Below are 20,357 nucleotides of genomic sequence, written 5' to 3' on the forward strand. Positions count from 1 at the left end.
ATCAGGCCACAAAGATGGGGATTTTGAAAGTGTTCTTGGCCTGTGGGCCTAGCCCCGGGCCAGGAGTAAGGGGCTGGGACAGATGGGAGAGCTGATTTTGTCACTTGGGTCTGGCTCTGGGGCAGAGGGGGCTGGTTGTCCAAGGCATGCCTTCCCAGGCCTTCAAGATTCCTAGGGCCTTGGGTCTCACATTATTCAAAAAGAAACCTGGGTGCTGTGGCTCATGCCTGTAATCCCAGCACTTTGGGAGGCTGAGGCAGATGGATCACTTGAGGTCAGGAATTTGAGACTAGCCTGGCCAACGTGGTGAAACCCCGTCTCCACTAAAAACACAAAATTAGCTGGGCGTGGTGGTGGGCACCTGTAATCCCAGCTACGCGGGAGGCTGAGGCAGGAGAATTTCTTAAACCCGGGAAGCAGAGGTTGCAATGAGCCCAGATCATGCCACTGCATTTCAGCCAGTGCGACAGAGTGAAACTCCATCTCAGAGGCTGAGTGCAGTGGCTCATGCCTGTAATCCCAGCACTTTGGGAGGCCGAGGCCGGTGGATCACTTGAGGTCAGTTCAAGACCAGCCTGGCCAGCATGGTGAAACCCCATCTCTACTAAAAATACAAAAATTAGCCAGGCATGATGGTGTATGCCTGTAGTCCCCAGCTACCTGGGATGCTGAGGCAGGAGAATGACTTGAACCCGGGAGGCAGAGGTTGTAGCGAGCCGAGATCACGCCATCGCACTCCAGCCTGGGCAACAAGAGCGAAACTCCATCTCAAAAAACAAGACAAAACAAAAAAAAAAAAACCCCAGAAAACTCCATCTCAGAAACAACAACCAACAACCACCACAAAAACATACTTGGTTGGCAGCAGTGGTAATCCCAGTGTTTTGGAAGGCTGAGGCGGAAGGATCACCTGAGGTCAGCTAAAGACCAGCCTGAGCAACCTAGTGAGGCCTTATCTCTACAAAAAAAAATGGTAAAAATCAGCCCATCAAGGTGGTGTCATGCCCATAGTCTTGGCTACTTGAGAGGCTGAGGCAGGAGGATCACTTGAGCCCAGAAATTTGAGGCTGCAGTGAGTCATGATTGCGCCACTGTACTCCAGCCTGGGTAACAGAGTGACACCCAGCCTTTTTATTTGTGGATAGCTCAAAGAAGTCATTTACAAAATGCCTTTTGTTTTCAAAGCACAGCTTTTCATAAAAAGCAAGGCTCACATTTAATAGATGCTCTGGTACATAGGTGTGTGTTGAGAGCCGCTGGGGACTCAGGAAGCCCAGCAGCCCCGGGATCCGCCGGTGGTCAGAACTCATCATCAGAATCGTCATGGGCCCCCCTGCAGACCTTGAAGGTCCGGGGGGTGGTCAGCTGTCCTGGGGAGGCCGGGGCCAGGTTCACCCAGCCGGGCCCGCGGGGCAGCAGGTGGCTTTCATTGAGTCTGATGACGCGGTAGTTCTCATAGTGGATGTTGTGGGTTATGTCCTTCAGGTCTTGGAGGTGGGAGCTGGGGGACCGGAGACGGTCAGCCCCGATGGTGGTGTCCCCAGGGCCCCTCGCCAGCCCCCTAGCCCCAGGCTCCCCACACCCTCACCGGATAAGCAGGTCTCTCAGGAGAGGAAATTCACAGTGCGCCATGTTCTCCACTGCAAGACATGGGACTCAGTATGGGCGCTGCTTAGTGAGCACTGAGTAAGTGCCTACTGTATGCACCACCTGACACCATTTCCCTTAGCCCTTTTCCCACATTTCTCTTTACCCTATCCTGCCTTCCCTTTGTTGGTTCATTCATTCATTCACCCACTGTTGTGTTCCCAGTGCCTGGTACAGGCGGCTCCTACAAATAGCTGTAGAATGAATGAATCCACCAATCATTATTGTATTATATGTACACTCGGCCTCTGTATCCATGGGTGCCCACTGTAGGACTTGAGCATCTGCCGATTTTGGTATCCCTGGGGGTCCTGGAACCACCCTCTGCGGATAGCATGGGTGCTATATCATAGGCAATAGTATAGTATATTTCTGGCTGGGCGCGGTGGCTCACGCCTATAATCCCAGCAGTTTGGGAGGCTGAGTTGGGTGGATCACCTGAGGTCAGGAGTTTGAGACCAGCCTGGACGACATAGTGAAGCCCCGTCTCTACTAAAAATACAAAAATTAGCCGGGTGTGGTGGTATAATCTGTAGTCCCAGCTATTTGGGAGGCTGAGGCAGGAGAATCGCTTGAACCTGAGAGGCGGAAGTTGCAGTGAGCCAAGATCGCTCCACTGCACTCCAGCCTGAGTGACAAAGCAAGACTCTGTCTCAAAAAAATATATATATATAGTATAGAATATTTCTAATAATTATAATAATACATCACCTGACCGGGCGCGGTGGCACACGCCTGTAATCCCAGCACTTTGGGAGGCCGAGGCGGGCAGATCACGAGGTCAGGAGTTTGAGACCAGCCTGGCAACATAGTGAAACCCCGTCTCTCATAAACATACAAAAAATTAGCTGGGCGTGGTGGCAGGTGCCTGTAATCCCAGCTCTTTGGGAGGCTGAGACAGGAGAATCACTTGAACCCAGGAGGCGGAGGTTGCAGTGAGCCGAGATCACGCCACCGCACTCCAGCTCGGGTGACACTGCGAGACTCCATCTCAAAAAAATAAAAATAAAAAATAATAATAATACATCAGGGGCTACATCCTCGCTGCCCCTCCTGTGTCACTTTCCCTAGCTCCCTAAGGCAGTCTCCTCTCCCTCCCGCCACAATCGCCTTCACTGTGCCTCCCCGACCTGTCCTTGTCCTGTCAGCTCTATGGGGACAGGGACCCTGTCAGTCCTCCCTTTACCGTGCACTGCAGTAACTGCACATAGCGGTGCCTGATACACAGTAGGCCCATCGTAATTTCCGGCCAGCCACTAGGGCAGCCTTGGGTATTGGGCATTGTGCAAAATGGTGGTTCTCCCCGCTCCAACACCCTAGGAAGTTGATGCACTGTGATGCCCACTTTACTGTGAGGAAACTGAGGCCCAGAGGGTCCGGAAACTTGCCACAGCCTCCCAGCTGGAAAGAGGGACCATTCCCCAGGGCTCTTTGTCTAGTGGGCTTCACCTTTCTGTGCCCTGTGATGGGTGCGAAGGTTGCCCAAGGCTGCTCTGGTTTCCAAACTGACCCCACCTGCATCCTACCCAGGGGCCCCGCACTGACCTTCAATGATGCCCCACTTGGTCTTCCGGCCCAGGACACACCTCCCGTTCACCAGGTGCTCTTGGTCAGCCCCTACCACGGCAAAAGGGATTCGGTCCTGGGAAAGGAGAAGACACAGAGATGGGAGGATTGACTTCGCTGGGGAGAAGAGAAGAAAAGTCAAGGCACCCAGGCAGGAGAGGGGAGTCCTATCCTTTTCGAGGAGGGAACATGGTAGAAAGTGCACAGAATTCCCAAGTTCAAAGACATAAAGTCTAATTGGTGCCTCTGGCTGAGTGAGGTAGCTCTTGCCTGTAATTTCAGCACTTTAGGAGGCCGAGGTGGGAGGATCACTTGAGCCCTAGGAGTTTGAGACCAGCCTGGGCAACATGGTGAAAGGCCATCTCTGCAAAAACTAAAAAATTAGCTGAGCTTATAATCCCATTATATTATATAGCGTATTATATAGCTCACACCTATAATCCCATAGCTCACTGCAGCCTTGACCTCCTGGGCTCAAGTGATATCCCCGCCTCAGTCCCCTGAGGAGTGAGGACCATAGGTGTGCACCACCATGCCTGGCTACTTTTTAAACATTTTTAGTAGAGATGAGTTCTCTGTGTTGCCCAGGCTGGTCTCTAACTCCTGGGCTCAAGTGATCCTCCCGCCTCTGCCTTCCAAAGTGGTGGGATTATAGGAGTGAGCTACCACACCCAGCCTGCCTGTCTTCCTATATATAAAGTTTTATTGGCACATAGTTGAGCCTATGAGTCATTTTTGTCTATGGCTGCTCTTGAACCATGACATCAGAGTTGAATCATCACAACAGAGACCCTACGGCCCAGAAAGTCTAAAACATTTACTACCTGGCCCTTTGCAGAAAAGGTTGTTGAACCCTACCGTAAACTCCAGTTGTTTACTTGCTCATGGCCAGAAGCAGAAATTCAAACTTGCAAACTCCGAAGTGACATATATGGGTTTTTACTTCTGAATTCATCTGTGATGGGGAGTAATGTGGATGTTGATAATATTGGGCGTGGTGGCTCACACCTGTAATCCTAGCATTTTGGGAGGTGAAGGCAGGCAGATCACCTGAGGTCAGGACTTCAAGACCAGCCTGGTCAACATGGTGAAACCCTGTCTCTAGGAAAAATAAAAAATTAGCTGGGTGTGGTGGCGCATGCCTGTAATCCCAGCTACTCAGGAGGCTGAGGTGGGAGAATCACCTGAACCCAGGAGGTTGGAGGTTGCTGTGAACGGAGATCCTGCCACTGCACCCCAGCCTGGGCCACAGAACAAGACCCTGTCTCTGCTGGGCACGGTGGCTCACGCCTATAATCCCAGCACTTTGGGAGGCTGAGATGGGTGGATCACAAGGTCAGGAGATCGAGATCACCCTGGCTGAAATAGTGAAACCCCATCTCTACCAAAAAGACAATAATTAGCCAGGCGTGGTATTGTGCACCTATAGTCCCAGCTACTCAGGAGGCTGAGGCAGGAGAATCGCTTGAACCCAGGAGGCAGGGGTTGCAGTGAGCGGAGATCACGCCACTATACTCCAGCTTGGGTGACAGAGGGAGACTCCATCTAAAAAAAAAAAAAAGACCCTATCTCATAAAAAAAACAACATTAAAAACAAAACAAACAAAACATTGTACGGTACGGGGGTTTTTAGTATTTGACCAGGGTTATGCAACCATCATCGCAATCTAATTTCACAACGTTTTCATCACGTCCCCCCAAAAAAACCCCATACCTTTTAGCAATCACTCCCCATTTCTCCCTTCCCCACAGCCCCTGACTACCACCAATCTACTTTCTGTCTCTATAGATTTGCCTATGCCTATTTGGGACATTTCATATAAATGGAATCCCATAATACGTGACCTTTTGTGTCTGACTGATTTTTGTCTGAGAAACATGTTTACAAGGTTCCCCCACGCTGTAGCAGGCAGGTGACAGGGTGACAGTGCTTCATTTTTTTTTTTTTTTTTGAGACAGGGTCTCACTCCCTTGCCCAGGCTGGGGTGCAACGGTGTGATCTCAGCTCACTGCAATCTCCATCTCCTGGGTTCAAGTGATTCTCCTGCCTCAGCCTCCTAAGTAGCTGGGATTACAGGCATGCACCACCACACCCGGCTAATTTTGTATTTTTAGGAGAGACGGGATTTCTCCATGTCGGTCAGGCTGGTCTCGAACTCCCGACCTCAGGTAATCTGCCCACCTCAGCCGCCCAAAGTGCTGGGATTACAGGTGTGAGCCACCGTGCCCGGCCTTTTTTTTTTTTTTTTTTTTTTTTTGAGACAGGGTCTCACTCCCTTGCCCAGGCTGGAGTGCAGTGTCACAATCTCTGCTCACTGCAACCTTCACCTTCCAGGTTCAAGCAATTCTCCTGCCTCAGTCTCCCCAGTAGCTGGGATTACAGGTGCGTGCCACCACACGCAGCTAATTTTGTATTTTTAGTAGAGACAGAGTTTCACCATGTTAGCCAGGCTGGTCTCGAACCCCTGGCCGCAAGTGATCTGCCCACCTCAGCTTCCCAAAGTGCTGGGATTACAGGCATGAGCCACTGAGCCCAGCCTTGAACTGTACACTTTTAAAGGGTGAACTTCATTGCTTTTCATGGTTAAGGGATAGTCCATGGTAGGGAATAGGCCGCACTGTGTTTCCCCACTCATCTGTTGATGCATATTTGGGTTGCTTCCACTTTCGGGGCTAAAATAAATAATGCTGCTGTGAACATTCACGTACACATTTTTCTGTGAATGTACATTTTTGTTTCTTTTGGGTATACACGTAGGAGTTCAGTTGCTGGGTCATAGAGTAACTGCATGTTTAAGCATTTGAGGAACCACCAGACTGTTTTCCAAAGTGGCTGAGCCATTTTACTTTCCCTCCAGCAGTAGGTGAGGGTTTCAGTTCCTCCACATCTTCCACAGCACTTTTTTTTTTAAGCTGGAGTTTTGCTCTTGTTGCCCAGGCTGGGGTGCAGTGGCGCAATCTCGGCTCACCGTAACCTCCACCTCCAAGATTCAACCGATTCTCCTGCCTCAGCCTCCTGAGTAGCTGGGCTTACAGGCACCCACCACCACGCCCAGCTGATTTCTTGTATTTTTAGTAGAGACGGGGTTTCGTCATGTTGGCCAGGCTGGTCTCGAACTCCTGACCTCAGGTGATCCACCCACCTCGGCCTCCCAAAGTGCAGGGATTACAGGGCTGAGCCACTGCGCCCGGCCAACACATTTTTTTTTTCTGAGATGGAGTTTCACTCTTCTTGCCCAGGCTGGAGTGCAATGGCGCCATCTCAGCTCACTCACTGCAACCTCTGCCTCCCAGTTTCAAAATTCTCCCGCTTCAGCCTCCTGAGTAGCTGGGACTAAAGGCGTGCACCACCACACCCAGCCAATTTTTTGCATTTTTGGCAGAGACAAGGTTTCACCATGTTGGCCAGGCTGGTCTCCAACTCCTGACCTCAAGCGATCTGCCTGCCTCGGCCTCCCAAACTGCTGGGATTACAGGCGTGAGCCACTGTGCCCGGCCCAATGTTCTCTATATATTCAGGATACAAGCCCCTTATTGGGTATGTGATTCGCAGACATTTTCTCCGATTCTGTGGGTTGTTAGTGTGAGCTGTTATTTCTTGCTCACCTTGAGCTTGTGGATGAGTAGAGAATCATATCTGCTAGGAATATGTGCACATTTCCCTGAGATGTAGAGAAAGATGAGTCTTTGGATGGAAAGGATGTGTGGGAAGGAAATCACCTCGCCCGCCTCCCGCCCCACAGCCTCTCACCCGTAACTTGCTGTTGAGGATTTTGTCATTGATGTCCTCGTCAAAGCACATCTGGGGGTAGACGTCGATGCAGTGGGTCCTCAGGTTCTGCTGGATCTGGAGATCCCACACAGGTGACCTCAGCCCACCCTGCCCACTCTGCCCTCTGCCCCCGCTGACCCCAGCCCTGCCCGGGCATCCAGATCACCCTGCGCCTGAAGGCCTCTCGCTCCTCCATGGTCAGGCTGTCGGCCCTGGCAATCACGGGCACCACATTCACAGTCCGGCACAGCCGCTGCAGGAACTCAATGTCCAGGGGCCGCAGGCTGCCGGAGGCAGGGCAGTGATGGGGGTGGCGGTGGTGGTGAGTGTATAAACGACAGCAGCAGGGCACGGGGGTGGGGGCAGCCGGCAGCCCATGGTGGGGACCCCTTCTCCTCCTCCCTGCCCCGTGCAGGTGGTCCTCGCCTTGCAGGTGCAGCCCCCTCACCAGTGCCCAGTGGGTGGTACAAAGTACACGCAGCAGTGCACCCGGGTGTCTGGGATGTGGCGCTGGCGGGTGATGAGGATCTCCTCCTGCAGGTACTGCTCGTATTGCTCGTTGATGTAGCCCAGGATGGGGTCCCAGCTGAGGCGGGAGGTGGACCCTCCCCTCAGAACTGTGCTGTGCCCAGAGAGCCCCACCCCTCTCCTCTGTGTCCTCTGGGCGGTCCTCCCTTGGGACGACGAATCGTCCCGGTTGGCCCGGGACCTGTGGGTCACCCCGGTACTTTCCCCCACTTCCCTGCATCATCAGAGACACACAGGGAGACCTCCTGCCATTCTCGGCTTCACTGTCTGTAAAATGGAGACAATAGTAGCACCTACGTTGCAAGTAAGGGAGGGGTGAGCATTAACTGTATTAAAGGGCCACAGCTGGGCCCAAACCACCAAGGAATCGCGCCTGATGGTTGCAGGGGTCTCCCTCCTCCTCTTCGAGTCCCTTCCCCTCTTGGGTATTGTCAACACTGTAAGTAGCCAAACAGATCCTTTTAAAAACAGGTGTCAGGCCAGGCCCGATGGCTCATGCCTGTAATCCCAGCACTTTGGGAGGCGGAGGCAGGAGGATCGCTCGAGCCCAGGAATTCGAGGCTAGCCTGGGCAACATGGGGAAACGCCAACTCTACAAAAAATACACAAATTAGCTCGGTGGGGTGGCACGTGCCTGTGGTCACAGCTACTCAGGAGGCTGAGGCAGGAGGGTCCTTGAGCTTGGGGAGGTCAAGGCTGCAGTGAGCCATGATCTCGCCACTGCACTCCAGCCTGGGAAACAGACTGAGACACTGTCTCTAAATAAATAAATAAATAAATAAATAAATAAATAAATAAATAAATAAAATGAAACCAGGGCCAGGTGCGGTGGCTTATGCGTGTAATCCCAGTGCTTTGGGAGGCTGAAGCAAGTGGATCACCTGAGGTCAGTAGTTCGAGACCAGCCTGGCCAACATGGGGAAATCCCCGTCTCTACTAAAAATACAAAAATTGGGCCGGGTGCAGTGGCTCACACCTGTAATCCCAGCACTTTGGGAGACTGAGGTGGGCGGACCACCCGAGGTCAGGAGTTTGAGACCAGCCTGGCCAACGTGGTGAAACCCCGTCTCTACTAAATAAATTCAAAAAAGTAGCCGAGCGTGTTGGCGGATGTCTGTAATCCCAGCTACTTGGGAGGCTGAGGCAGGAGAATTGCTTGAACCCCGGGAGGCGGAGGTTGCAGTGAGCAGAGATTGTGCCACTGCACTCTGGCCTGGGTGACAAGAGCGAGTCTGTCTTAAAAAAAAAAAAAATTAGCCGGAAATTGCTTGAACCCAGGAGGCAGAGGTTGCAGTGAGCCGAGATTGTGTCACTGCACTCTGGCCTGGGCGACAAGAGCTAGATTCTGTCTCAAAAAAAAAAAAGATCACACAGCCTGGCTGTTCCAGGTCTGGGGTGTTTCCCAAAGGTTGAAGGGGGAGGGGCACGGACAGGAGGGGACAGCCATGGCTTGGCCCCCACCTTTGAGAACCCACCACTTGTTGCGGGCACAGTGGCTCATGCCTGTAATCCCAGCACTTTGGGAGGCCGAGGCGGGTGGATCATCTGAGGTCAGGAGTTCAAGACCAGCCTGGCCAACATGGTGAAACCCCATCTCAACTAAAAATACAAAAAAAATTAGCTGGGCGTGGTGGCGGGCGCCTGTAATCCCAGCTACTTCGGGAGGCTGAGGCAGGAGAATCACTTGAACCTGGGAGGTGGAGGTTGCAGTGAGCCGAGATCATGCCATTGCACTCCAGCCTGGGTGACAAGAGTGAAACTCTGCCTAAAAAAAAAAAAAAAGAGAGAGAACCTACCAGTTGTCATTGTTGATCTGGTCCCCGAAGCCGGGCGTGTCCGTCACCGTCAGCTTCAGCTTCACACCCTTCTCCTCTATGACTGTGGAGGGAGAGCAGAGTCGGGAGAGACTGGACCCAGGTGGGATGGGGTGGGGCAGGGTGGGGTGAGGTGTGGGCAGGGGCTCACTCACCATGGGTCAGTGAATGCAGCTGCAGCGTCTGGGGTGTGGGCACCCCCAAGCCCGGTGGGTTTGACTTCCACACTTTGGACTTGAACAGCGTGTTCACCATCGTGGACTTGCCCAGCCCGCTTTGCCCTGGGAGTGGCAACCGGATGACAGCAGTTAGGGTGGGCGTTTTAGGCAGTTTTTCTCTAACTCTTTACTTTTCTATTTTATTTTTGGAGACAGGTTCTCACTCTGTCACCCAGGCTGGAGTGCAATGATGCAATCCCCGTTCACTGCAGCCTCGACCTTCCCAGACTCTAGTGATTCTCGCACCTCGGCCTCCCTAGTAGCTGGGACTGTAGGCACACGCCACCATACCCAGCTGATTTTTGCACTGCTTTTTTTTTTTTTTTTTTTGAGACGCAGTCTCGCTCTGTCACCCAGGCTGGAGCGCGATGGTGGGATCTCGGTTCACTGCAAGCTCCGCCTCCCAGATTCACGCCATTCCCCTGTCTCAGCCTCCCAAGTAGCTGGGACTACAGGCGCCCGCCACCACGCCTGGCTAATTTTTTTGTATTTTTAGTAGAGACGGGGTTTCACCATGTTAGCCAGGATGGTCTTGATTTCCTGACCTCATGATCCGCCTGCCTCAGCCTCCCAAAGTGCTGGGATTACAGGCGTGAGCCACCACACCCGGCCTTGCACTGTTTTTTAATTTTTAAGACAGGGTCTCAATCTGTCACCCAGACTCAAGTGATCGCAGCTCACTGCAACCTCCACCCTCAGGTTCAAACGATCCTCCCACCTCAGCCCCCCAAGTAGCTGGGATTCAGGTGCATGTCACCATGCCTGGCTAATTTTTAAATTTTTTTTGTAGAGATGGGGTCTTGCTGTGTTGCCTAGGCTGGTCATGAACTCCTGGCCTCCAGGGATCCTTCTGCTTCAGTCTTGCTCTGTCACCCAGGCTGGAGTACAGTGGCGCAATCTCGGCTCACTACAACATCTGCCTCCCAGGTTCAAGCAATTCTCCTGCCTTAGCCTCCTAAGTAGCTCCTAAGTACAGGCGCCCACCACCACGCCTGGCAAATTTTTGTATTTTTAGTAGAGACGGAGTTTCCCCATGTTGGCCAGGCTGTTTTCGAACTCCTGACCTCAAGTGACCCTCCTGCCTTGGCCTTTCAAAGTGCTGGAATTACAGGCTTGAGCCACCATGCCCGGCCTCATTTTTGTACTTTTTGTAGACATTAGGTTTTGCTAGTCTCAAACTCCTGAGCTCAAGTGATCCACCCACCTCAGTCTCCCAAAACCCTGGATTATAGGTGTGAGCCACCGCTCCAGGCACATTTTTGTCTTTTAATGACTCAGCATTTCTCAAATTTTCAATGACAACATCCCTGTGAGGTGCTATTATCAGGCCCACCTAAGAGATGGGGAGGGGCGACAGGCTGCCAAAGGTGAGGCCACACGCCCAGGCACGCGTAGCACTGTGGGTCTGTCCTGCCGTGGGCCCTACCTCTCACTCACCCACCACCATGATGTTGAACTCAAACCCCATCTTCATAGCCTTGATCTTCAGCTGGTCCAGCACAGCCTCAATGCCCACAGGACCAAGCATCTCGCAGGGTGGGGTGCTGGGGCTGGAGGGCTGCGAGGACAGGCAGGGAGAGGGGGAGCGCCTCAGGGGGTCCATGGGGGCCAAGGGTTCGAGATGCCTGTCACCAGGTGGGTGGGGAGAAGGGGGTCACTGGGGCTCAGAGGAGCCCACATTGACCTCTCCTATCTGAACCCCTATTTGAGCTTGGCCGTTGGCCAACCCCCTCCACACTTCATGCCTCTGGTGTACCCTAAGTGCCTGTAGTCCCAGGGGTGTGGCAAGGGTGCCTGTGGGGAGCTGTTTCTGCAGGGTGCCTCAACACCCATCCAGAGAGGCTCCGCTGCCCAAGGGTCTGCCCTGTCCCCACCTACAGCCCAGGCAGGGGCCTCTCAGGTCGCTTCCCCCAGCAGAGCCTGGAGGGCCAGGCAAAGTCCAGGATGGGTGTTTGCAGCCAGGCTGGAGTCCTGGAGGGGCTTCAGGGAGTGTGTATGGGGTGAAGTGGCTCCCGTCCCAGCAGGAAACTTGGGCAGGGGGCTCAGGAGGAGGTGCCCCCACTTTCCCCAGGGGGACACACAGCAGAGTTGATAGAGAGCGAGAAAGACGGCACAGGCATGAAGGTGACGGAGACAGAGAGAGAGAGACCAAGGTCAGGCAGGGAAGATGGCTGGGAGGGAGCGGTGCGAAGAGCCCACGGGGGGCAGAGAGAGAGAGAAGCAGCCTGCTGTGACACCTGGTGGACGTGGGTCCTGGTGGAGCTTCCAGGAGCTGCCTTGTCCTGGCAGGGCCTGGTGTGTGTGATGGGGGAGGGGAGAGGGTGACAGTTAACCGAAGAATCTGAGCTCCATCTGCACTTGCTGTGACCCCCACCTGGAGGCTTCTCTGCAGCAGGAGCAGGAGCTGTTACCCTTCTAATCCCCACAATGACCCCAGCCTAATAATACAATAATCCCCAAGTAGAACCAGGGGCCCAAGGCCCCCTCGTCAGCTGGGCTCCCACCTCCAAGCTGACGCCCTCAACCACTCTGCTGGGGTGAGCAAACCCAGGCCCCACAGCTGGCTAGCGGGATATCCGTGTCCACGATTGGCGCCATGTGTTTTAAGTTGCAGCGTCAAAAACATGAAGAGATTGCTTTAGCAAATATTTACCCAGTCCTGACTCTGCACATGGCATCGTTCTAGGAGCCCAAAGATGTTAACTTGTTTAATAATCAAGCCCTGTGAAGTAAGTGCTGTTACTACCCCAAGCTGATAGATAAGAGAGGGTCAGGTGAGGAGGTGGCAGAGTCTCTGCCGCTCTGAGTCTGTGTGCTCACCCTCTACTGCCTTTTTCTGGTTTACAGAAACATCTAGATTTCCGGTGTATCTTAGAGGTTATCACCCTGACTTGAGATGCCCTCTTTAAATAGGCCATGTGCTTTCCAGACTGTGGTCCTCACCCCTGCCTTACTGTCTCTCTGATAAGCTGTTTCTTTTTTTGTTGTTTGTTTTTGAGACAGCCTCGCTCTGTTGCCCTTGCTGGAATGCAGTGGCGCGATCTCGGCTCACTGCAACCTCCGCCTCCTGGGTTCAAGCAATTCTCTTGCCTCAGCCTCCCAAGTAGCTGGATTACCGGTGTGCACCACCACGCTAATTTTGTATTTTTAGTAGAGAAGGGGTTTCACCACATTGGTCAGGCTAGTCACAAGCTTCTGACCTCAAGTGATCCACCAACCCTGGTCTCCCAAAGTGTTGGGATTAGTGAGCCACCATGCCTGGCCTTTTTTTTTCTTTTTTCCTTTTTTTCTTTTTTTTTTTGAGACGGAGTCTCGCTCTGTCACCCAGGCTGGAGTTTAGTGGCATGATCTCGGCTCACTGTAAGCTCTGCCTCCCGGGTTCACGCCGCTCTCCTGCCTCAGCCTCCCGAGTAGCTGGGACTACAGGCGCCTGCCACCACGCCCGGCTAATTTTTTCCTATTTTTAGTAGAGACTGGTTTTCCCTGTGTTAGCCAGGATGGTCTCGATCTCCTGATCTCGTGATCTGCCCTCCTCGGCCTCCCAAAGTGCTGGGATTACAGGCGTTAGCCCCTGCGCCCAGCCCTTTTTAAAATTTTTTTGAGACACGGTCTCACTATGTTGCCCATGCTGGTCTCAAACTCCTGGGTTCTAGTGATCCTCTCACCTCAGCCTCCCTAAATGCTGAGATTACAGACGTGAACCACCATGCCCAGCCTGATAAGCTGTTTCTTATACCAAGTCCATCTCACACAGTTAATTCTTTCTTGTTTCCTGGTACTTGACTTCACAAGGCTTAGGCATTCCTGTGTCCTTGCTATTGGCAAATGTTTTCTCTTTCTTTTTTCTTTCTTTTCTCCTTTCTTTTCTTTCTTTTTTTTTTTTCTTTTTTGGGACAGGGTCTCACTTTGTCACCCAAGTTGGAGTGCAGAGGCACAATGACAGCTCACTGCAGCCTCGACTTCCTGGGTTCAAGTGATCCTCCTGCCCCAGCCTCCCTAGTAGCTGGGACTTCAGGTACGTAGACCATGCTGGGCTAATTTTTTTACTTTTTGTAGAGATGAGGTCTCCCTATGTTGCCCAAGATTGTCTTGAACTCCTGGGGTCAAGGGGTCCAGCTGCCTCAGCCTCCCAAAGCGCCACCACACTCAGGCTGGCAAGTGTTTTCTGTAAAGGGCCAGATGGTCCCTATTTTAGGCTTTGCTGGTCCTAAGTTCTCTGTTGCAACTACTATGCAACTTTTCATTGCAGTGAGAAAGTCGCCACAGACAATAGGTAAACAGATGGGCGTGGCTGTGTCTAAGTAAAACCGTATTCACAGAAGAAAGGTGGCCGTGGTTCCAGCTTTCCTGAGCCCCAGGCCGACTTCTGCCCTTTGCTGTCCACTACCTTCTGCCAGTTCTTCCTTCTGGGGAACTCCCGCTCCTTCCTGGAGGCTTAACCTTAAAGGCTTAGAGGCTAGGGGTCAGCCAGGTGCGTTGACTCATGCTTGTAATCCCAGCACTTCAGGAGGCCAAGGTGGGCAGATCACTTGAGGTCCGGTTTGAGACCAGCCTGGCCAACATGGCGAAACCCCATCTCTACTAAAAATACAAGAATTAGCTGGGCTTGGTGGCGGGCACCTGTAGTCGCAGCTACTTGGGAGGCTGAGGCAGGGAGAATAGCTTGAACCGAGGAGGTGGAGGTTGCAGTGAGCCGAGATCGTGCCATTGCACTCCAGCCTGGGCGACAGAGTAAGACCCTAGCTCAGTAAATAAATAAATAAATAAATAAGTAAGTAAATAAATAAAGGCTTAGAGGTTAAGGGTGGGCCAGGCAGGGCCCAGGGTGGCAGGGACGATGGGGCACAGCCTGTCCTGGACCACAGTTTGTTGTCCAAGGTGAAATCTTGAAAACCACAATTCCACAGCCCTTGAGGGATTCAGCACGGGGGCCTCTCCCATAAGCAGCTGAGGATGTGGTTAGTGGATGAACAAATGGCTCTGGTGATGGTGACGTGTGGACTGCGTTTGAGCAGTAGACGTACCTCTGGGGATGTCCCCTAAGGAAATGCGCCTCTGTGCAGAGAAAACACTTTCTCCAGGAAAATCCTCCCATGTGAGCGATGGTCTAATTCTGAAAATCGTGGCGGTGAGGGGAGGAGCCTCACTGGGTGCCAGTAGGGACTGCACCATGTAAGTGCCGTCAAAGGAGTAGTTTGCAGAAAGCATGCTGTCATCTGGAAGGTGCTCCCGGTGGTGTTGACTGGCAAAAGCCAGGGAAAAAACGATCTATGCAGCGTGACTATGGTGGAAGAGGACAAAAGCCTGGATGGAATCACACGTCAACACGGCGATAATAGCACAGGGCATTCAGTGCACGTTTCTGTGAGCCTTCCATCATGCTTCGACGGCTCTGACATCGATGATCAGTTCATTTCATCCTCACGACACTGGGAGGAGGTGGATACTATTAACATACCCATTTTACAGATGAGTATACTGAGGCAGAAGGGCTCAGGGAACGTTACTCAAGCTCACACATTGGTGGGTCTTATGGCATGCAATCGAACCTGGGTCCAGAAGTCTGACTCACCGGAACCACTCCCTGCCACAGCCTCCTCCTCCTGTTACTGTCCTGCCTGGGACTGGGCGGGGCTCTGTGACTTTTGTCTTTTTTGTTTTCTGAGACACAGTCTCACTCTGTCACCCAGGCTGGAGTGCAGTGGCGAGATCTTGGCTCCCTGCAACCTCTGCCTCCCGGGTTCAAGTGATTCTCCTGCCTCAGCTTCCCGAGTAGCTGGGATTACTGGCACCAACCACCACGCCCGGCTAATTTTTGTATTTTTAGTAGAGACGGGTTTCGCCATGTTGGCCAGGATGGTCTCGAATTTCTAACCTCAGGTGATCTGCCCACCTCGGCCTCCCAAAGTGCTTGGATTACTGGTGTGAGCCACCGCGCCTGGCCTGACTTTGTCTTTTAACAACTTGGTGGTTTCCAGATCTTCTTTAAGAGATAGATACGACTTTCATAATAGTAACAACAAACATTAGAAACAAGGTACCCAGAGAGACAGGAAGACTGAGGGCCAGAGGGGAGAGGAGGGGACAGTGGGCCTCCTGCCCACCCAGCCAGGCCAAGAGCTGGAGCAGGGGCCACAGTTGTTCCCCTGCACTTTTCTTTTTTTTTGAGACAGAGTCTCGCTCTGTCGCCCAGGCTGGAGTGCAGTGGCGTGATCTCGGCTCACTGCAAGCTCCGCCTCCCGGGTTCATGCCATTCTCCTGCCTCAGCCTCCCGAGTAGCTGGGACTACAGGTGCCCGCCACCACGCCCGGCTAATTTTTTGTATTTTTAGTAGAGACGGGGTTTCACCGTGTTAGCCAGGATGGTCTCGATCTCCTGACCTCGTGATCTGCCCCCCTCGGCCTCCCAAAGTGCTGGGATTACAGGCATGAGCCACCGCGCCTAGCCTCCCCTGCACTTTTTAAATAGAAGTATGTCTGCTGGGCGCGGTGGATCATGCCTGTAATCCCAGCACTTTGGGAGGCTGAGGGGGGCGGATTGCTAGAGCTCAGGAGTTCAAGACCAGCCTGACCAACATGGTGAAACCCCGTCTCTACTGAAAACACAAAAATCAGCTGGGTGTGGTGGTGCACGCTTGAAATCCCAGTGATTCGGGAGGCCGAGGCAGGAGAATCTCTTGAACCCAGGAAGCGGAGGTTGCAGTGAGCCGACATCGTGCCATTGCACTCCAGCCTGCCAGCCTGGGTGACAGCAAGACTCCGTCTCAAAAAAAAAAAAAAAAAAAAGGCCAAGCATCGTGGCTCACACCTGTAATCCTAGCACTTTGGGAGGCCAAGGTGGGTGAATCACCTGAGGTCAGGAGTTTGAGACCAGCCTGGCCAACATGGTGAAACCCAGTCTCTACTAAAATACAAAAGTTAGCTGGGCGTGGTGGCAGGTGCCTGTAATCCCAGCTACTCAGGAGGCTGAGGCAGGAGAATCGCTCGAACCCGGGAGGCGGAGATTGCAGTGAGCCGAGATGGCGCCACTGCACTCTAGCCTCAGCAAAAAGAGCGAAACTCTGTCTCAAAAAAAAAAAAAAAAAAAAAGGGAGGGAGGAGGATTAGAGTCAGAGGAGGAGACGTGAGCCTGGAAGCAGAGGGTGGAGGGATGGGAGACCACAAGCCCAGGAATGCCACCACCCTCTAGAAGCTGGACAAGGCAAAAGATGGACTCTGCCCTAGAACCTTCAGGATGAACACAGCCTGGTCGACCCATTTTAGACTCTGACCTTCAGAACCATAGGGCAATACATTTGTGTTGTTTGAAGCCACAGAGTTTGTGGTAGTGTTACGGCAGCATTGGGACATGGATACATTAGGTGTGTGACGGGCTAATGGCTAAACTTCTCTAGGCCTCCGTTTCCTCATCTGTAAAATGGAAAAAGCAATAATACCCACTTTAGGATTGCTATGAGGAATAAACCAGGTGACACAGCACAGTGCTCGATGCAGAGCCCCACATTAGCTGATATTTTCAAGTAGTAAAATAGAGAAAATAAGGACAGTGAAGAGTCCTAGTACAGCTGGCCTTCCGTATCCACAGGTTCCACATCTGTGGCTTCAGCCAACCACAGACAGAAAATATTTGGAAACAAATCACATCTCTATTGGACATGTACAGACTTTTTTGCTTACTGTTCCCTATACAATGTAACAATTATTTACCTAGCATACATTATATTAAATAAATATATGTATACAATTTTTTCTTGAGATGGAGTCTTGCTCTGTCACCCACGCTAGAGTGCAGTGGTGCCATCTTGGCTCACTGCAGCCTCTGCCTCCTGGGTTCAAGCGATTCTCCTGCCTTGGCCTCCCGATTAGCTGGGATTACAGGAGTATGCCACCGCACCCAGCCAATTTATTTTTTTTGAGATAGTCTTGCTCTGTCACCCAGGCGGGTGTGCGGTGACATGATCTTGGCTCACTACAGGCTCCGCCTCCTGGGTTCAAGCGATTCTCCTGCCTCAGCCTCCCAAGTAGCTGGGATTACAGGTGCCCGCCACCACAGCGGGGTAATTTTTGTATTATTATTATTTTTTGAGATGGAGTCTTGCTCTGTCACCCAGGCTGGAGTGCAGTGGCGAGATCTCGGCTCACTGCAATCTCTGCCTCCAGGGTTCAAGCAATTCTCCTGCCTCAGCCTCCTGAGTAGTTGGGACTATAGGCGCGTGCCACCATGGCCGGCTAATTTTTTGTATTTTTAGTAGAGATGGGGTTTTACCGTGTTACCCAGGATGGTCTTGATCTCCTGACCTTGTGATCCGCCTGCCTCGGCCTCCCAAAGTGCTGGGATTACAGGCATGAGCCACCACACCCGACCAATTTTTGTATTTTTATCTTTTTTTTTTTTTGAGATGGAGTTTTGCTCTTGTTGCCCAGGCTGGAGTGCAATGGCGTGATCTCGGCTCACCACAACCTCTGCCTCCCGGGTTCAAGTGATTCTCCTGCCTCAGCCTCCCTAGTAGCTGGGATTACAGGAATGTGCCACCACGCCTGGCTAATTTTGTATTTTTAGTAGAGACATGGTTTCTCCACGTTGGTCAGTCAGGCTGGTCTCAAACTTCTGGCCTCAGCTGACCCGCCTCTGCCTCCCAAAGTGCTGGGATTACAGGCGTGAGCCACTGCGCCCGGCCCAATTTTTGTATTTTTAGTAGAGGTGGGGTTTCGCCATGTTGGCCAGGACGGTCTCAAGCTCCTGATCTAAGTAAGTGATCTGCCCAACTTGGCCTTCCAAAGTGGTGGGATTACAGGTGTGAGCCACCAGGCCAGGCCAAATATATTAAGTATTATAAGTAATCCAGAGATGATTTAAAGTATAGAGTATATGCACAGGTTATATGCAAATACTGCCTCATTTTATATCAGGGAGTTTATAGCATCTGTGGATTTTGGTACCCACGGAGGTGCTGGAACCAATCGTTGAGGATTCCAAGGACAACTCTATGATGCAGGCACACCTGTCCTAGCTGCTCAAGGGTCGTGGGATGCAGGTAGGTTTTCTCCCCCTTCCCCCTCCCTCCCACCCACCTTCTCTCCCATCTCTCTCTCTTTCATTCACGAAGTCAGCAGTGGCCAAGCACACAGGTGTTCCCAGCTGCATATCTGGGATACTGAGGAAAGGTAAGAAGTCTCAGGAGTGAAGAAGCCACAGGCCGGCGTCTTCCTCCCTGGGCCTCCAGCAGTGGGGAGCCAGGGAGCGCACCTGCTGGGCCTGGGCCCTCTCCCCTGGGCTGGGCGGCCTCTGCTGGCCCTGGGGAGGGCGGGGCTGGTTGCCAAGGCCTCAGGTGGTGTGGAGCCGGAAGCAGGAAGCAGCCTGTGCTCCCCAGGACCTGCCTGGTTGGGGGAATTGGAGGCTTCTAGGAGGTAGGTGGGGGCCTGGGGGCTGGGCTGCCAGGGGGAGAGAGAGGGGAGATGACAGTGGCTGGGGAGAAGGTTGTCAGGGTAAGGACCACAGGGCTGGGCAAGGAGAGAAGCTGGGCCTGGGGCCGAGGGAGAAGTGGAGTGGGAGGGGGTGGGGAAGCTGGCGCTGGGCCAGGAGCGGGCAGTGGCTGGGCTGTGGGAAGCCTGGATGTGGTCCCCGCTGAGCTGAGCCCAGGATCCTGATGCAGCCTCTGGGGGACCGGGGCAGGTGGCACGGTGCACGCCAAGATGGCTGTGTCCACAGAGGAGCTGGAGGCCACGGTTCAGGAAGTCCTGGGGAGACTGAAGAGCCACCAGTTTTTCCAGTCCACATGGGACACTGTTGCCTTCATTGTTTTCCTCACCTTCATGGGTAAGTGTGGCTGTGGCCTCTGGGTCCTCCCAGCCCCCTGCCCTGGGCTCCAGGTTGGGGCCACACCTGGACGCCTGTCCTGTCCCCAGGCACCGTGCTGCTCCTGCTGCTGCTGGTCGTCGCCCACTGCTGCTGCTGCAGCTCCCCCGGGCCCCGCAGGGAAAGCCCCAGGAAGGTGAGCCCCTGGAAGGTGAGCCCTGCCGGCCTCTGGGACCTGCACGGAACTGTACTGGGGGTGGAGGCGGAAGGTGAGGGGAGTGGCGGGAAGGGTGCTCATCCCCCTAGGGAACAACGAGCGAACCTGCTTGGTCCCGCTGTGCTTCTCGTGCAGGAAAGACCCAAGGGAGTGGATAACTTGGCCCTGGAACCCTGACCCTGTGTCTCCTGCCCGGTGGCAGTAACAAAGCCTTCTGTCTGCCCAGAGCCTGAGTCTGCAGTGTCTTCCAGTCCCCGTCTGGGTGGGTGACGCGGGACTCGCCGCCCCACTCAGGTGGCCACCTGGCCTCTCCAAGCCTTCAGTCAGCACGACTGTGCCAGGTCATCCTCAGTCACCTAGCTGGGAGGGGAGCTGGTCTCAGGCCGGGCGCGGTGGCTCACACCTATAATCCCAGCACTTTGGGAGGCCGAGGTGGGCGGATCACGAGGTCAGGAGATCGAGAACATCCTGGTTAACGTGGTGAATCCCCGTCTCTACTAAAAATACAAAAAATTAGCCGGGCGTGGTGGCGGGCACCTGTAGTCCCAGCTACTCGGGAGGCTGAGGCAGGAGAATCACTTGAACCCGGGAGGCGGAGCCTGCAGTGAGCCGAGATCGCGCCACTGCACTCCAGCTTGGGCGATAGAGCGAGACTCCGTCTCAAAAAAAAAAAAAAAGACTCGGTGGCCCAAAGTCCCAGGTAGAGCTCTTGTCGCCACCCCATGGGCTTCTTGGCAGCCCGAGGGTCCCCTCTCGACAGTAGGTTCTGTGCCCTGCCCTGGCATGGCACAGGGAACGCG

General features: G+C 53.3%; 2 protein-coding genes across 12 annotated transcripts; one reads left to right on the forward strand and one right to left on the reverse strand.

Moving 5' to 3' along the window:
- SEPTIN12 (septin 12) lies at window positions 1,109–15,331 on the reverse strand. 6 transcript variants are annotated; one of them, NM_144605.5, is made up of 10 exons: window positions 11,783–11,848; window positions 10,983–11,170; window positions 9,483–9,608; window positions 9,310–9,391; window positions 7,434–7,571; window positions 7,152–7,269; window positions 6,965–7,060; window positions 3,193–3,289; window positions 1,589–1,640; window positions 1,109–1,501 (listed from the first exon to the last, which is right to left on the reverse strand). In NM_144605.5, the coding sequence occupies exons 2-10, from the start codon at window positions 11,146–11,148 to the stop codon at window positions 1,300–1,302; spliced, it is 1,077 nt and encodes a 358-aa protein (NP_653206.2). In that variant the 5' UTR covers window positions 11,149–11,170; window positions 11,783–11,848; the 3' UTR covers window positions 1,109–1,299. The 6 variants fall into 6 exon arrangements, with proteins under 6 accessions (NP_653206.2, XP_024305923.1, XP_006720909.1 ...); XM_024450155.2 differs by having other exon boundaries at window positions 11,424–11,848; XM_006720846.3 differs by having other exon boundaries at window positions 11,420–11,848.
- On the forward strand, window positions 11,900–19,994 carry SMIM22 (small integral membrane protein 22). 6 transcript variants are annotated; one of them, XM_011522500.3, is made up of 6 exons: window positions 11,900–12,274; window positions 13,443–13,560; window positions 18,455–18,579; window positions 19,218–19,361; window positions 19,451–19,551; window positions 19,693–19,994. In XM_011522500.3, exons 4-6 carry the CDS (start codon window positions 19,238–19,240, stop codon window positions 19,732–19,734), a joined length of 267 nt encoding a protein of 88 aa, XP_011520802.1. In that variant the 5' UTR covers window positions 11,900–12,274; window positions 13,443–13,560; window positions 18,455–18,579; window positions 19,218–19,237; the 3' UTR covers window positions 19,735–19,994. The 6 variants fall into 6 exon arrangements, with proteins under 6 accessions (XP_011520802.1, NP_001240719.1, NP_001240720.1 ...); NM_001253791.1 differs by lacking the exon at window positions 13,443–13,560 and having other exon boundaries at window positions 11,959–12,082; window positions 12,232–12,274; NM_001253790.1 differs by lacking the exon at window positions 13,443–13,560 and having other exon boundaries at window positions 19,451–19,536.

Source organism: Homo sapiens, chromosome 16 (genome assembly GCF_000001405.40).
Source record: "Homo sapiens chromosome 16, GRCh38.p14 Primary Assembly".
In the NCBI taxonomy this organism is placed as follows: Eukaryota; Metazoa; Chordata; class Mammalia; order Primates; family Hominidae; genus Homo; species Homo sapiens.

What these genes read in the sequence shown, in the direction of transcription:
- SEPTIN12 (XM_017022938.2), bottom strand. Translation starts at nt 14,753, where the DNA reads ATGCTTTCTGCAAACTACTCCTTTGACGGCACTTACATGGTGCAGTCC. An exon ending in CTTAGGGGACATCCCCAGAG is followed by an intron (nt 9,609 to 14,569) that starts GTACGTCTACTG and finishes TGCCACTCCCAG; the next exon opens with GGCAAAGCGGGCTGGGCAAG. An exon ending in CTGAGAGACCTGCTTATCCG is followed by an intron (nt 1,502 to 1,588) that starts GTGAGGGTGTGG and finishes CCGGTCCCCCAG; the next exon opens with CTCCCACCTCCAAGACCTGA.
- SMIM22 (XM_011522500.3), top strand. Translation starts at nt 19,238, where the DNA reads ATGGCTGTGTCCACAGAGGAGCTGGAGGCCACGGTTCAGGAAGTCCTG. An exon ending in TGTTTTCCTCACCTTCATGG is followed by an intron (nt 19,362 to 19,450) that starts GTAAGTGTGGCT and finishes TCCTGTCCCCAG; the next exon opens with GCACCGTGCTGCTCCTGCTG. An exon ending in GGAAGGTGAGCCCCTGGAAG is followed by an intron (nt 19,552 to 19,692) that starts GTGAGCCCTGCC and finishes CTTCTCGTGCAG; the next exon opens with GAAAGACCCAAGGGAGTGGA.